Source organism: Homo sapiens, chromosome 22 (assembly GCF_000001405.40).
Source record: "Homo sapiens chromosome 22, GRCh38.p14 Primary Assembly".
Taxonomy (NCBI): Eukaryota; Metazoa; Chordata; class Mammalia; order Primates; family Hominidae; genus Homo; species Homo sapiens.
The window spans coordinates 31,411,695-31,428,184 of NC_000022.11; the positions used below are offsets into that span (position 1 = coordinate 31,411,695).

The window sequence follows — 16,490 nt, forward strand, 5'->3', positions numbered from 1 at the left end:
AATTTTTTTTTTTTTGGTAGAGACGGAGTTTCACCATGTTACCCAGGCTGAAGCTCAAGTGATCTGCCTGCCTCAGTCTCCCAGAGTGCTGTCCTTTCATGTTTGAAGGTTATTTTTATTTTACCCTTGTACTGGAGTCATTAATTTGGCTATTTATAGAATTATAAATTAGAAGTCATTTTCCCTCAGAAATTTGAAGAACGCTATCTTCTAGCATCTACTATTGCTGTTGAGTCCAATAGTTAGAACTTTTTTTTGTTTTTTGATAAAAAACCAACTTTTTTCCCTCACTGGAAGATCTTAAAAGCTACTTCAGGCCGGGCACTGTGGCTCACGCCTGTAATCCCAGCATTTTGGGAGGCCGAGACGGGCAAATCACGAGGTCAGGAGATCGAGACAATCCTGGCTAACACAGTGAAACCCTGCCTCTACTAAAAATACAAAAAAAAATTAACCGGGAGTGGTGGTGGGCGCCTGTAGTCCCAGCTACTTGGGAGGCTGAGGCAGGAGAATGGCGTGAACCCGGGAGGTGGAGCTTGCAGTGAGCTGAGATCGTGCCAACAGAGTGAGCCTCTGTGTTAGAAAAAAAAAAGCTACTTCAGCAAACTAATTCTTGGTTTGGGCTTTTCCTTTTTCTTTGTTTTATTTTCTTTCTTTCTTTTTTTTTTTTTTTTGAGATGGAGTCTCGCTCTGTCGCCCAGGCTAGAATGCTGTGGTGCCATCTTGGCACACTGCAAGCTCCGCCTCCCGGGCTCATGCCATTCTCCTGCCTCAGCCTCCTGAGTAGCTGGGACTACAGGCGCCCGCCACCATGCACGGCTATTTTTTGTATTTTTAGTAAAGATGGGGTTTCATCGTGTTAGCCAGGATGGTCTCGATCTCCTGACCTCGTGATCCGCCCGCCTCGGCCTCCCAAAGTGCTGAGATTGCAGGTGTGAACCACCGTGCCTGGCCCTCTCTTTCTTTTCTTTGATTTATTTTGCTGGATATTTGGTGGAGCCTTTTTTTTTCTTTTTTTTTGAAACACTCCCATCACCTAGCCTGGAGTGCAGTGGTGGGATCTCGGCTCACTGGAGCCTCGACTCCCTGGACTCAGGTTATCCACCTCAGTCTCCCGAGTAGCAGGGACTACAGGTGCGTGCCACCATACCCGGCTAATTTTTTTGTATTTTTAGTAGAGACAGGGTTTTGCCATGTTGCCTGGGTTGCCTTTTTTTTATTTTTATTTTTAATTTCCATCTCCCTTTCCTGGTGTGGTAGACTCTTTCAGCATGATGACTCATATCTTTCATTTTATGGAAGATTTTCCTGTTTTCTTTGATAATTGCCTCTATTTCTGAGTTCCTTATTTATGGAAGGACTGCTAATAGAATGCTGGACTTCTGGGTTTATAATTTTCTTAATTTTCTTTTTTTATAAAGATAGAGTCTCACTCTGTCACCCAGGCTGGAGTGCAGCGGCCTGATTGTACGTAGCTCACCGTAACCATGAACTCATAGGCTCAAGCAATCTTCCCATGTCAGCTTTCTGAGTAGCTAGGACTACAGGCACGCAACACCGTGTGGGCTAATTTTTAAAATTTTTTTGTAGGGGTCTTGCTCTGTTGCCCAGGCTGGTCTTGAGCCCCTGGGCTCAGTGATCCTCCTGCCTTGACCTCCCAAAGTGTTGGGATTACAGGTGTGAGCTGCTGCACTTGGCCCTTTTAATTTTTTAAAATTATCTTTTGTCTCTTAATTTTTTCTTTATGTGATTTTCTCAGCATTGTCTTCTAATCCTGCTATTGAGTGTATTTCTGCTCTAGTATTATTTTTAATTTCTAAGACTTTGTTTCTGTCTTCTGATTTTTCCTTTTTTTAGCATCTTATTCTTGTTTCATGGATGCATTATTTTCTCTTAGACTCCTACCTATTGTGGGTTTTTTTTTTTTTTTTTTTTTTTGAGATGGAGTCCCACTCTGTTGCCCAGGCTGGAGTGCAATGGTGCGATCTTGGCTCATGCAATATCTGCCTCCCGGTTTCAAGTCATTATCCTGCCTCAGCCTCCTGAGTAGCTGGGATTACAGGCACCTGCCACCACGCCTGGCTAAGTTTTGTATTTTTAGTAGAGATGGGGTTTCACCACGTTGTCCAGGCTGGTCTTGAACTCCTGACCTCAGGTGATCCACCCACCTTGGCCTCCCAAAGTGCTAGGATTACAGGGGTGAGCCACCGGGCCCTCCCGACACCTGTCTATTCTTAACAAGAACACATATGACTTCCCTGTTGTCAAACCTGATGGCCAATTTATTGTCCACATCTTTCTAAAGAGAATAACACAGTTGATCACTCCATCCTTGGAGTATTTGCTTTACCTGATCTCTGACACCAGTGCCCCTTCCTGGTCTCCTTTGCTTGATCTGCCCCATCATCAGACTCTTTAAATGTGGATTGCCCCAACACCTAATCTTGGAGATTCTTTTTTTCTCTGTCTCTGCTCTGTCTATGCCAAATGAGAGTTATTTCATCTAGTTCTTTGGTTTTAAATGTCTGGATCTATATTCTAATGATTATGAAATGTGTGGCAGTAATTTGCCCTCTGATGAAGTGCATACCAGCTGCCAACATATCTCTGCTTGGATGTCTAATTAGGTGTCTCAAAGTTAACGTGTAAGATTACATTCTTGATCTTAGCTGAGGCGGGAGGATCACTTGAGCTCAGGAGTTTGAGACCAGCCTGGGCAACATAGTGATACCTCATCTCTATTAAAAAATGAAAGTAAATTTAAAAATTAAAAAACAAAAAAATTCTTGATCTCCCATCCTCAACTTGCTCTTCCCTTAGTCTTTTCTATCTCAGTAAAGGCAAATTTATCCTTCAGAACTTTTAGGTCAAATCTTTTTTTCCCTTTCATCCCGCACATCTACTGTGTTGTTATATCCAGCTGGTTTTACCTTTGAAATATATCTAGAGGCCAGCCACTCTTTTTTTCCCCCTTTTTCATCCTTAAGTGAAAAACTTATGTGACTGACATGCTGGCTACTATGCTAAGGAGGAAACTCTACCAAAAGGTTGAGTTAATCATGCTTCTCAGTTCATGGCACATTTTCTTTTTTTTTTTTTTTTAGAGATAGGATCTTGCTCTCTTGCCCAGGCTGGAGTACAGTGGCATGATCACAGCTCACTGCAGCCTCAATTTCCTGGGATCAGGTGATCCTTCCTTCTTAGCCTCTTGAGTAGCTAAGGACTACAGGCATGTACCATCATACCCGCTAATTTTTTACTTTTTGAGAGACAGTCTCACTATGTTGTTCAGGGTGGTCTCGAAAACCCCGGGCTCGAGAGTCTCTCTCTTCTCAGCTTCCCGAGTAGCTGGGACTGCTGGCATGTACGACCATGGCAGGCTGATTGATTTTTACTTTTTTAGGGGTAGAATCTCGATATATTGCCTAGGCAGTGATTGTTGTCTTACTGTTTTTCAAGTATTTCTCTTAAATTCTATGTCTAATATGATATCTACTAGTTACATGTGACTAACATTTAATTACAATTGAATAAAATTTAAAATTTAGTTCCTCAATTATGTAAACCACATTTTATGTGTTTATTAGCTACACTTGACTAGTAACTACTGTATTGCACAGTACAGATGCAGAATATTTTCATTATTACAGAAACTTTTATTGGATACCACTGCTCTCGATATTAATTCCTTGTCATCTTTAGACATTATAAATATCTTCTCCCGTTAATTTTGTCCAAGGTGGTATTTGTTGAATAAAAATCCTTAATTTTGTTAGAATCTACACTTTATTTGTAGCTGGGACCACAGGTGTGTGCCACCACGCCTGGCTAATTTTTTTGTATTTTTAGTAGAAACGGGGTTTCACCATGTTGGCCAGGCTTGTCTAGAACTCCTCACCTCAAGTGATCCGCCTGCCTCGGCCTCCCAAAGTGCTGAGATTACAGGTGTGAGCACCTGGCCTACTCTTTATTTTTTCTTATGGTTTGTGCTTTTAAAGTTTTATTTAAGAAGTCCTTATCTTTCCTTAGGTCTTAGATATAGTCTCCTGTTTTTTCTATACTTTTAGGTCCTTTATTTACCTAGAGACTACTCTTATATCTGATATTAGAAGGGTATCCAATTTTAATTTTCTCTGTATAATGGGTCACTTTCCCCAACACCTTCTTTTTTTTTCCCCTTTGATTCGTAGTGACTGCAAACTCTTCACCTATATTGTCACTTCCTTCATTATGCCTTGTCTCTAACATTATAGCCCCATAACTGGCCTTCTTGCTGCTATCCTACTGCTCTGTAGTATCTTCTCACTACAGCTAGTATGATTGTGTATAAGAAGTCAGATCAGTCCAGGCACGATGGCTCATGACTGTAATCCCAGCACAGAGGCAGGCAGATCACTTGAGGCCAGGAGTTCCAGACTATCCTGGCTAACACGGCAAAACCCGATCTCTACTAAAAATACAAAAATTAGCTACTTGGGAGGCTGAGATGGGAGGATCACTTGAACCTGGGAGGCGGAGGTTGTAGTCAGGTGAGATGACACCACTGCATTCCAGCCTGCGTGACAGAGTGAGACTCTGTCTCAAGAAAGCAAACAAAAAAAAGAAGTCAGATCATGTCATTTGTTGGCTATACCTTCTGATGTTTTCCCATATTATTTGGGATGAGACCCAAAGTCTTAACATAGCTTACAAGCTACGGTAAATGACCTGGCCCCTGGCTGCCTCTCTGACCTCCTTTTCTATCACTTCAGTCACTGGGCTTAAGATATCACTGGCCGTCCGGGTGTGGTGGCTCACAGTCTGTAATTCCAGCACTTTGGGAGGCCAAGGTGGGTGGATCACCTGAGGTCAGGAGTTCAAGACCAGCCTGGCCAACGTGGTGAAACCCCATCTCTACTAAAAATACAAAAATTAGCCAGGCATGGTGGCAGGTACCTGTAATTCCATAGTCTGTAATTCCAGCACTTTGGGAGGCTGAAGCAGGTGCATCACAAGATGAAGAGATCGAGACCATCCTGGCCAACATGGTGAAACCGCGTGTCTATTAAAAATATAAAAATTAGCTGGGCATGGTGGCGTGTGCCTATAGTCCCAGCTACTCAGAAGGCTGAGGCAGGAGAATCGCTTGAATCCAGGCGGCAGAGGTTGTAGTGAGCGGAAATTGCACCATTGCACTCCACCCTGGTGACAGCAAGATTCTGTCTCAAAAAAAAAAAAAAAAATAGCTGGATGTGGTGGTATGCTTCTGTAGTCCCAGCTGTTCGGGAGGCTGAGGTAGGAGGTTCTCTTGAGCCCAGGAGGTCAATCTGCAGTGAGCCATGATCATGCCACTGCACTGCAGCCTGGGCAGCACACAGACACCCTGTCTCAAAAAAAAAAATAATAATAATAATAAGGCCGGGCATGGTGGCTCACACCTGTAATTCCAGCACTTTGGGAGGCCGAGGCGGGTGGATCACCAGGTCAGGAGATCGAGACCAACCTGGCCAAGGTGGTGAAACCCCGTCTCTGCTAAAAATACAAAAATTAGCTGGGTGTGGTGGTGCGCGCCTGTAGTCCCAAGCTGCTCGGGAGGCTGAGGCAGGAGAATCGCTTAAACCTGGGAGGCAGAGGTTGCAGTGAGCCGAGATTGCACCACTGCACTCCAGCCTGGCGACAGAGCAAGACTCTGTGTCAAAAAATAATAATAATAAAAATAAAATCATGGCTGCTTGGTGGCTCATGCCTGTAATTGCAGCACTCTGGGAGGCTGAGGGGGGTGGATCACTTGAGATCAGGAGTTTGAGACCAGTCTGGCTATCATGGTGAAACCCTGTCTGTACTAAAAATACAAAAAGTAGCTGGGCATGGTGATGCATGCCTGTAGTCCCAGCTACTTGGGAGGCTGAGGCAGGAGAATAGCTTGAACCCAGGAGGCGGAGGTTGCAGTGAGCCGAGATCACGCCATTGCACTCCAGCCTGCATGACAGAGCAAGACTCCATCTCAAAAAAATAAAATAAATAAAATAAAATCAGGCTGGGCATGGTGGTACATGCATGTAATCCCAGCACTTTAGGAGGCTGAGGCGAGCGGATCACCTGAGGTTGAAAGTTTGAGACCAGCCTGACTAACATGGAGAAACCCTGTCTCTATTAAAAATGCAAAATTAGCTAGGAGTGGTGGTCCATGCCTGTAATCCCAGCTACTTGGGAGGCTGAGTCAGGAGAATTGCTTGAACCCAGGAGGCAGAGGTTGTGAGCTGAGGTCGCACCAATGCACTCCAGCCTGGGCAACAAGAGTGAAACTCCATCTCAAAAAAAAAAAAAAAGTCTACCACTGAGGCTGGGCATGGTGGCTCACGCCTGTAATCCCAACACTTTGGGAGGCCGAGGTGGGCAGATCATGAGGTCAGGAGTTCAAGACCAGCCTGAACAACATGGTGAAATGCTGTCTCTACTGCATCTCAAAAAAAGAATGAGGGGTCAGGGTCAGGTGCAATGGCTCATACCTGTAATCCCAGCACTTTGGGAGGCTGAGGCAGGAGGATCACTTGAGGCCAGGAGTTCGAGACCAACCTGGGCAACATTGCAAGACCCTGTCTCTACAAAAATAAAAATTAAAAAAAAGAAAAAAATAGCCATGTGACATGGCACACATGTGTAGTCCCGGATATTCAAGGAGACTGAGGCAGGATGATCAGTTGAGCCCAGGAGGTGGAGGTTATAATGAGCTATGATCATGCGACTGCACTCCAGCCTGAGTGACAAAGCGAGACCCTGTCTCTTCAAAAAAGAGAATTTTAAAAAATGAGGAACTAGAAAGTTGATGGAAGCAGAATATTTTTTTTTTTCTGAGATGGCGCTCTGTTGCCCAGGCTGGCTGGAGTGCAGTGGCATGATCTCGGCTCACTGCAACCTCTGCCTCCCTGGTTCAAGTGATTCTCGTGCCTCAGCCTCCTGAGTAGCTGGGATTACAGGTGTCCACTACCATGGCCAGCTAATTATTTATTTATTTATTTATTTTTGTAGATGGATTCTCGCTCTGTTGCCCAGGCTGGAGTGCAGTGGCGCAATCTCAGCTCACTGCAATCTCTGCCTCCCGGGTTTAAGAGATTCTCCTGCCTCAGCCTCCCAAGTAGCTGGGACTACAGGCATGTGCCACCACATCCGGCTAATTTTTTGAATTTTTAGTAGAGATGGGGTTTTACCATGTTGGCCGGGATGGTCTCAATCAGCTCACCTTGTGATCCTCCTGCCTCAGCGTCCCGAACTGCTGGGATTACAGGCGTGAGCCACTGCGCCGGCCAGTTTTTCTATTTTTAGCAGAGACAGGGTTTCACCATGTTGACCAGGCTGGTCTCAAGCTCCTGACCTCAGGTGATCTTCTCGCTTCAGCCTCCCAAAGTGCTGGGATTATAGGTATGAGCTCCCGTGCCCAGCTGGAAGCAGGATTTTTGACAAATGAATTTTAATATAGAAAAAGGCCAGATACTGTGACTCATGCCTGCAGTCTCGGCAGTTTGGGAGACCAAGGCAGGAGGATTGCTTGAGGCCAGGAGTTAAAGGCTACAGTGAGCTATGATCATGCCACTGCACTCCAGTCTAGGCAATAGAGCGAGACTCTGTCTCTGTCAATATAAATATATATTAATAAAAATAAGATATGCAGGCACAAAAGACTACTTTTTTTTTTTTTTATACAGATTGAATCTTACTTTGTTGCACAGGCTGGTCTCAAACTCCTGGCTCCAAGCAATCCTTCTGCCTCAACCTCCCAAAGTGCTAGGATTACAGGCATGAGCCACTGTGCTAGGCCAAAATAATATATTTTATATGATTCCATTTATATGAAATTCTAAAACGTGCAAACTATGGTGGCAGAAAGCAGATCAGTGGTTGGCTGGCAATAGTGGGGAAGATTGAAAGGAGGCACAAAGGAATGCTGTAGGTGATGGAAATATTCCATGTCTTGATTGGTTTGGTGGTTACACAGGTATATACATTTGTTATTGAACTGTGTGCTTTAACATGGATACAATTAAAAAAAAATTGTACCTCAATAAATTTGGTTAAAAATTTGCTAACCAAGGGTGGGCGCAGTGGCTCATGCCTGTAATCCTAGCACTTTGGGAGGCTGAGGTGGGCGGATTGCCTGAGCTCAGGAGTTCGAGACCAGCCCAGGCAACATGGTGAGGAAACCTCGTCTCTACTAAAATACAATTAGCCAGGCATGGTGGCATGTGCCTGTAGTCCCAGCTACTGGGGTGGCTGAGGGAGGAGAATCGCTTGAACCCGGGAGGCAGAGGTTGCAGTAAGCCAAGATTGTGCCACTGCACTCCAGCCTGGGCAACAGAAAATGTGTCAACTCTTGGGCAAATAGGTGCTGATTTCATGGCATACAAAGCAAATTGACTTCTGGTATAAATCTTCTGTAGCTATAAGAACTTCACGTATGCATGTATGTATTACAGAAAAATCCTTTGACACTTAAATGTAGGGGGAAAAAACACCTCTACTTGAGTATTTGGGTTAGTTAAGGCTTTATTGAACTTTCTTGCGTATGTTTTTTTCTTACTCTTCAGTGGCCCGAACCTGTAACTTGATCTTGATTGTTCTGGATGTCCTGAAACCTTTGGGACATAAGAAGATAATTGAAAATGAGCTGGAAGGCTTTGGCATTCGCTTGAACAGCAAACCCCCCAACATTGGCTTTAAGAAGAAGGACAAGGGAGGCATTAATCTCACAGCCACTGTAAGTGGGGAATATGACATGGGGCAGGCTGCTGCAGGAATTGGAATGGGGAGTGGATTGGGGTGCATGGACCCTGACATTGGAAAATTTCCTGGCTTTTCCCTGCACTAATTGAGATAACACAATGACTTTATAATGACTGACAAGAAAAACTTCAAGATTAGGATAGGAGCCAGTCTCAGACTTACCTTTGCTACTTATTTCCTCTTTTGGATTATCTATTGGGAATGATATGGGCGTGTGGACCAATATTATGCTTGCATAAAGTAGATGGCCGCCAATATCTTCTGTTTTCATTCATTTAACACAAATTTATAGAGTGCCTACCACGGGCCAAGCATTATTTTAGGCTCTGGGCAGGAATGGAAGAGGGAATAGTGAAACCCCCTGCTTTTATATTCTAATTGGATAGAATAGAAAACAATGTTAATGAGTAAAATATAATGTATTCGTCAATGATAAATATAAGAACACAAAGTAGGGAAAGGAGATAAGAGTGTTGGTGTGAGGGTTGCAGTTTTAAGAACGTTGGTCAGGGAAGTCTTTACTGAGGTGACATGAAGGTGTGAACCAAGTGGATATCTTGAAGAAGAGCATTTGCTTCATGCCTCAACCTCCTGAGTAGCTGGGATTACAGGTGCCTGCCATCGCACCCAGCTAACTTTTGTATTTTTAGTAGAGACGGGGTTTCACCATGTTGGCCAGGCTGGTCGGTTTCATTCTGTTGCTTAGGCTGGAGTACAGTGGCACAATCATAGTTCACTGTTAGCTCAAAACTCTTGGGCTCAAGTGACCCTCCTGCCTCAGCCTTCTAAGTAGCTAGGGCTAAGTCACATGCCTCCAGGCTTGGCTAATTTTTTTTTTTTTTTTTTTTTTTGGTAGAAACGGAGATTTGCCATGTTGCCCAGGCTGGTCTTGAACTTTTGGCCTCAAGCTGTCTCCTGCTTCGGTCTCCCAAAGTGTTGGGATTACAGGTATGAGCCACCATACCCAGCCATGTTTTTTATTTCCTGAGCTAAAAAAAAAATGAACTCTTATTACTAAAATGGTAGGACTTTTGGTAGAATAGATTTGGAGGGAAGGAGAAGATCAGGATGTTAAATTTTAGATGCCAGTGAGACATCCAGGTATTTCAGTCAAGAGGGCATGTGGGGTAGGCTGGGCATGGTGGCTCATGCCTGTACATCTATAATCCCAGCACTTTGGGAGGTTGAGGCAGGAGGATCACTTGAGCCCAGGAGTTCAAGACCAGCTTGGGCAACAAAGTGAGACCCCATCTCTATAAAAATAATAAAGAAGGCATGAGGAATTATCTAGGCTGGATATATAAATTTGGTGATTATCAACTTTAATGTCATGGGCCTAACTGAGATCACCAAGGATGTGAGTATAGATAGAAAAGAAAAGAGAGCTGGGTGCAGTGGCTCACACCTGTAATCCCAGTACTTTGGGAGTCCGAGGTGGGCGGATCACAAGGTCAAGAGATGGAGACCATCCTGGCCAACATGGTGAAACCCTGTATCTACTAAAAACACAAAAATTAGCCGGGCATGGTGGCACGCACTTGTAATCTCAGCTACTCGGGAGGCTGAGGCAGGAGAATCGAACCCAAGAGGTGGAGGTTGCAGTGAGCCGAGATGACGCCACTGCACTCCAGCCTGGTGACAGAGCGGGACTCCGTCTCAAAAAAAAAAAGAAAGAAAGAAAGAAAAGAAAAGAGAATCGGCCAGGCACGGTGGCTTACGCCTGTAATCCCAACACTTTGGGAGGCCGAAGTGGGCAGATTACATGAGGTCAGGAGTTGGAGGCCAGCCTGACCAACATGGCAAAACCCTGTCTGTACTAAAAATACAAAAATTAGCCAGGCGTGGTGGCACGTGCCTGTGATCCTGGTACTTCGGAGGCTGAGGCAGGAGAATTGCTTGAACCCAGGAGGCGGAGGTTGCAGTGAGCTGAGATCGCGCCACTGCACTCCAGCCTGGGCAACAAGAGCAAAACTCCGTCTCAAAAGAAAAAAAAGAAAGAAAAGAGACTCAGAGAAATAAGACTTCTTAGACCAAGAGAGAGAAGGAAAACTGAAAGAGTTTGAAATACTGGAAGCCAAGTAAAGTGTTTCACATAGGAGTGACCAATTCTGTCAAATGCTGCTTCTCTGTCAGAATTGAGGACTGAGAGTTTCCTACTAAATTTAACACTTCAGAGCCCAGATGATTTGACTGGCATAGGTTTCAGCTGTCCTGCCCAAAACATCTTTCCCATTATCCCGTCTTAATATTCAAATTTGAACATTTAAGATTATTTCTGTGTTAGTTTCAGTGCTGCCATAATACGGTACCACAGATGGGTGGCTTAAATAACAGAAATTTATTTTTCATAATTCTAGAGGCTAGAAGTCTGAGATGAAGTTGATGGCAGGGTTGATTTCTTCTGAGGCTTCTGTCCTTGGCTTACAGATGGGACTTCATATGGTGTTTGCTCTGTGTGTCTGTGTCCTAATCTCCTTTTCTTATTAGGACCACCAGTATTGGATTATGGCCCCACCCTAATGACCTTATTCTAATTTGATTACCGCTTTAAAGACCCTATCTCCAAATACATCACATTCTGAGATACTGAGGTTAAGACTTCATGTGAATTATTTGGTGGGGGAAGGAGGAACACAGTTCAGCGTGTAACACCTTCCTTGGAGTTTGGACATTTATTTCCTACTAAAAGTCAGTGACACTCATCCCGGATGTATTTAGTAATGAGTTTGCATCTTAGCTAGAATTTTCCAGGTACATGGATATTGGTACACTTGACAAGTATTTTTTTTAAATTTTGTGCTGACTAGTCATCTGCTATTCCCTTTCAGTGCCCCCAGAGTGAGCTGGATGCTGAAACTGTGAAGAGCATTCTGGCTGAATACAAGATTCATAATGCCGATGTGACTCTACGTAGTGATGCTACAGCTGATGACCTCATTGATGTGGTGGAAGGAAACAGGTACTGACTGAGTGTGCAGTCTGTGCCTGACTGAATTGGAAGCCTTGTGATGGAAACAGTATTGGATCTTGAATCTGGCAGAAGTTTATCTTAATTCCAGTTGTCCTACTGTCTTTTTTTTTTTTTTTTTTTTTGAGATGGAGTCTCACTCTGTTGCCCAGGCTAGAGTGCAGTGGCGTGATCTCAGCTCACTGCAAGCTCCACCTCCCAGGTTCAAGAGATTCTTCTGCCTCAGCCTCCCGAGTAGCTAGGATTACAGGTGCGCACCACCACGCCCAGCTAATTTTTGTATTTTTAGTAGAGATGGGGTTTCATCATGTTGGCCAGGCTGGTCTTGAACTCCTGACCTCAAGTGATCCGTCTGCCTCGGCCTCCCAAAATGTTGGGATTACAGGCATGAGCCACTGTGTCCAGCCTGTGCTACTATCTTAAATGATAGTGGGCTTTGGTTTCTTTTTTTTTTTTTTTTTTGAGATAGAGTTTCGCTCTTGTTAGCCAGGCTGGAGTGCAGTGGCGCAGTCTCGGCTCACTGCAACCTCCACTTCCAGGTTCAAGCGATTCTCCTCCCTCAGCCTTCCTGAGTAGCTGGGATTACAGGCCTGTGCCGCCACGCCTGGCTAATTTTGTATTTTTAATAGAGATGGGGTTTCTCCGTGTTGGTCAGGCTGGTTTCGAACTCCTGACCTCAGGTGATCCACCCCACCTCGGTCTCCCAAAGTGCTGGGTTTACAGGTGTGAGCCCGGCCTTTTTTTTTTGAGACAGAGTCTTACTCTGTCACCCAGGCTGGAGTGCAATGGTGTGATCTCAGCTCACTGTAACCTCCTCCGCCTCCCAGGTTCAAGCGATTCTGCTGCCTCAGCCTCCCAAGTAGCTGAGATTACAGGTGTGCACCACCATGCCCAGCTAATTTTGTATTTTTAGTAGAGACGGGGTTTCATCATGTTGGCCAGACTGGTCTCAAACTCCTGACCTCAAGTGATCCGCCTGCCTTGGCCTGCCAGAATGTTAGGATTACAGACATGAGCCACTGCGTCCAGCCTGTGTTACTATCTTAAATGATAGTGGGGCTTTGGTTTCTTTTTTTTTTTTTTTTTTTTTTTTTGTGAGACAAGAGTCTCACTCTGTCACCTGGGCTGGAGTACAGTGGCGCGATCTTGGCTCACTGCAACCTCCACCTCCTGGGTTCAAGTGATTCTTCGGCCTCAGCCCCCTGAGTAGCTGGGATTATAGGCGCCTGCCACTACATCTGGCTAATTTTTTGTATTTTTAGTAGAGATGGGGTTTCATGTTGGCCAGGCTGGTCTTGAACTCCTGACTTCAGGTGATCTACCCACCTCAGCCTCCCAAAGTGCTGGGATTACAGGTATGAGCTGCTGTGCCCGGCACCCGCCCCCCCCCCCTTTTTTTTTTTTTTGGAGTCTTGCTTTGTCCCCCAGGCTGGAGTGCAGTGGCACGATTTCAGCTCACTGCAACCTCTGCCTCCCGGGTTCAAGCAATTCCCCTGCCTCAGCCTCCCAAGTAGCTGGGACTACAGGTGTCCGCCACCATACCCAGCTAATTTTTGTATTTTTAGTAGAGACGGGGTTTCTCCATGTTAGCCAGGCTGGTCTCAAACCTCAGGCAGTCTGCCTGCCTCTGCCTCCCAAAGTGCTGGGATTACAGGCGTCAGTCACCCTGCCTGCTGGCTTTGGTTTCTTTAGGGGTAAACTGAGGGATTAGTTTTTATTTCTGACATCCTTCCTTGCTTTTAAATTTAATTATGATGGTCATATTCCCCATTTCAGTTTTTTTCTTTTACAGCCTCTTCCTATGAAATTCTCCGTTTCAGTTACTTGCTGTAAACTAAGCTGCCCCCTAAACTTTGTCATGTGATAGTTGAAGAAAGTAGTAGGTCAGTCTGCTCTTCCAGAATTAATCCACCTGAGAAGTTATATAGGCTGTGTCCTACAGAAGTCCGAGCAGGCCAGGCTGTGTCTGTTTTCTCCATCCTAAGAGTATGTAGCTGAATATCTGTTTCATGATACATTACTTTTTTTTTTTTTTTTTGAGACAGAGTCATGCTCTTGTCGCCCAGGCTGTAGTGCAGTGGTGTGATCACGGCTTACCGCAGCCTTGAACTCCCGGGCTCAATCCATCCTCCCACCTCAACCTCCTGAGTAGCTGGGACTATGGGCGTGTGCCACCAAGCCAGGCTAATTTTTGTATTTTTTGTAGAGATGTTGTTTCACCACGTTGCCGAGACTGGTCTTGAACTCCTGGGCTCAAGCAATCTGCCTGCCTTGGCCTCCCAACGTGTTGGGATTATAGGCATAAGCCACTATGCCCAGCCCATTAATATTACTGAGACTTTAATAAGTTAAGTCACTGTTAAAATTACTCATAGCATTTGCATGTAATATTTTTAGTTGCTCTCCTAGTCATTTGTTCCTGTATGTTGGATGAGTGTACTTACTCCTCATTTGAAAACAAACAGAAGCCAGTGTTTTCAGTTAGGCATTTTACAAGTGAGGCAGTTAAACCTGAGAAGTTGTGGCTTGCCTAATTAGTAGTAACCTTAGCTGTCATATTGATTGGACACTAGGAATATGACATTGGTAGATGCTATATCAGTTTTACCAATATTATTTATTGTACCAATAAATAAAACACTTATTTTTTAGTCTTTAAGTATAAATTATGTTTTAAAACAGCCTTGTAGGAAACTGACTCAGAGGTTAAGTGACTTTCCTAGGGACACATAACATCACCTCTTCATATCCACAGAGGATTGCTTCCAGGACCCCTTGCAGATAATGAAACCTGCAGATGCTCAAGGCCCTTATATAAAATGGTATAGTACAGCTGACCCTCCGTGTCTGTGGGTTTTTGATCTGCAGTTGGTTGAATTCAGGGATGCAAAACCTGCATATTTGGAGGGCCAGCTGGGATTAGAATCAGTCTGAGCACTTCAAAGCTTGTGTTCTTTCCACTGCAGTATGCTTTCCTAGCAGTTAGCTTTGTGGCTGGTACTAGGGCCTGACTTCTGTTACTTTTCAACCCATAGTTCACTTTTTCTTTTTCTTTTTTCTTTTTCTGGCTGATCTGCTACTTACAGTCCCTCTTGGGAGCGCCAGTTGGGTCTGGGTGAGGGTGTGCTGTTCAACAGTCTGACAGTTCTGTCAACAACTCCAGACTAATACCCTGTTTTTCTTCACTTTCTGTAGAGTTTATATCCCCTGTATCTATGTGTTAAATAAGATTGACCAAATCTCCATTGAGGAATTGGATATCATCTATAAGGTGCCTCACTGTGTACCCATCTCTGCCCATCACCGCTGGAATTTTGATGACCTATTGGAAAAGATCTGGGACTATCTGAAACTAGTGAGAATGTAAGTCTTTGTGGATAGGGTAATGTTGCTATAGGAATTAACCAGACTGTCCTAAAATGATACTTTCTGGAGCTCATTAACAAAATCTGGCTCTTTTTGAAAATATAAGTAAATTGGTTCCTATTATCTACTAGGTCATTAGGTCATATTGAGGACACTTTTTCCCTTAAGTTGGAGGTTGTCCTGGTCTGATGTCAGGGGTGATGGAGGGTTGCTATACATTCAACACATGAGATAGTCTAAGAAGGCAGTAATCTTTATGCCCTCTCTATTCTAGTTACACCAAACCCAAAGGCCAGTTACCAGATTACACATCCCCAGTGGTGCTTCCTTACTCCAGGACCACAGTGGAGGATTTCTGCATGAAGATTCACAAAAATCTTATCAAAGAATTTAAATAGTAAGTATCATGGGCCTGTGGTCCCTCCTTTTTCCTATGAGTTACCAATTTTACTAACTAGTAATTCTTAGGATAGCATTTTAAAAAAGAAGGCAGGAAGGAGGCTACTGAAATGTTTGCTTGGCTAGAACTCTGCAGTGTCTTCTTAAAACCGTGCCTAATTAGAATAGGAAGAGCTCTAGAAACCTCTTTAGGTCAGGAAGCCTGATGACACAAACAACCCTGACCTTCCCTCATTATTTCATCTTCCTCTTGGCAAACACAAATATTAATAATTCCTGCCAATGTCACACTGGCCTCTACTGGGTACTGAGCCCCCTTCTAAACCTTAAACATGGGCAAAACCTCCCTAATCTCTTACATTTTTCACTGCTGACACAGGCTGAAAAAAAATTATTTTATTTTTGCGACGGTCTTGCTGTTGCCTTGGCTGGAGGGAGTGGTGAGATCATAGCTCACTGGAGCCTCAATCTTCTGGGCTCAAGCAGTCCTCATGCCTCAGCCTCCTGAGTAGCTGGGACTACAGGTGCACACCATTATACCCGGCTAATTTTTAATTTTTCATTTTTTGAGACAGTCTCGCTTTTGTTGCCCAGGCTGGAGTGCAATGGCGTGATCTTGGCTCACTGCAACTTATGCTTCCCGGGTTCAAGTGATTCTCCTGCCTCAACCTCCTGAGTAGCTGGGATTACAGGCATGTGCCACCCACCATGCCCAGCTAATTTTGTATTTTTAGTAGAAACGGGGTTCCTCCATGTTGGTTAGGCTGGTCTTGAACTCTTGACCTCAGCCCCCCAAAGTGCTGGGATTACAGGCATGAGCCACCGTGCCTGGCCTTAAAAAATGTTTATTAGAGACGAGGTCTTGCTTTGTTTCCCAGGCTGGTCTTGAATTCCTGAGCTCGAGCAATTCACCTGCTTCAGCCTCCCAAAGTGTTAGGATTATAGGTGTGAGCCACTATGCCCAGCATATTAATTTTTTATTTTGAACTTATTTTAGACC

General features: G+C 44.4%; 1 protein-coding gene across 1 annotated transcript in view; it reads left to right on the plus strand.

Annotated features, from left to right (window-relative positions):
- DRG1 (developmentally regulated GTP binding protein 1) overlaps positions 1–16,490 on the plus strand; it is a 34,849-nt gene that overhangs the window by 12,091 nt on the left and 6,268 nt on the right. Inside the window, exons 5-8 of the mRNA NM_004147.4 lie at positions 8,562–8,731; positions 11,586–11,716; positions 14,921–15,088; positions 15,366–15,488. Coding sequence (NP_004138.1) covers positions 8,562–8,731; positions 11,586–11,716; positions 14,921–15,088; positions 15,366–15,488 — 592 coding nt within the window. The remainder of the gene's footprint in view (positions 1–8,561; positions 8,732–11,585; positions 11,717–14,920; positions 15,089–15,365; positions 15,489–16,490) is intronic.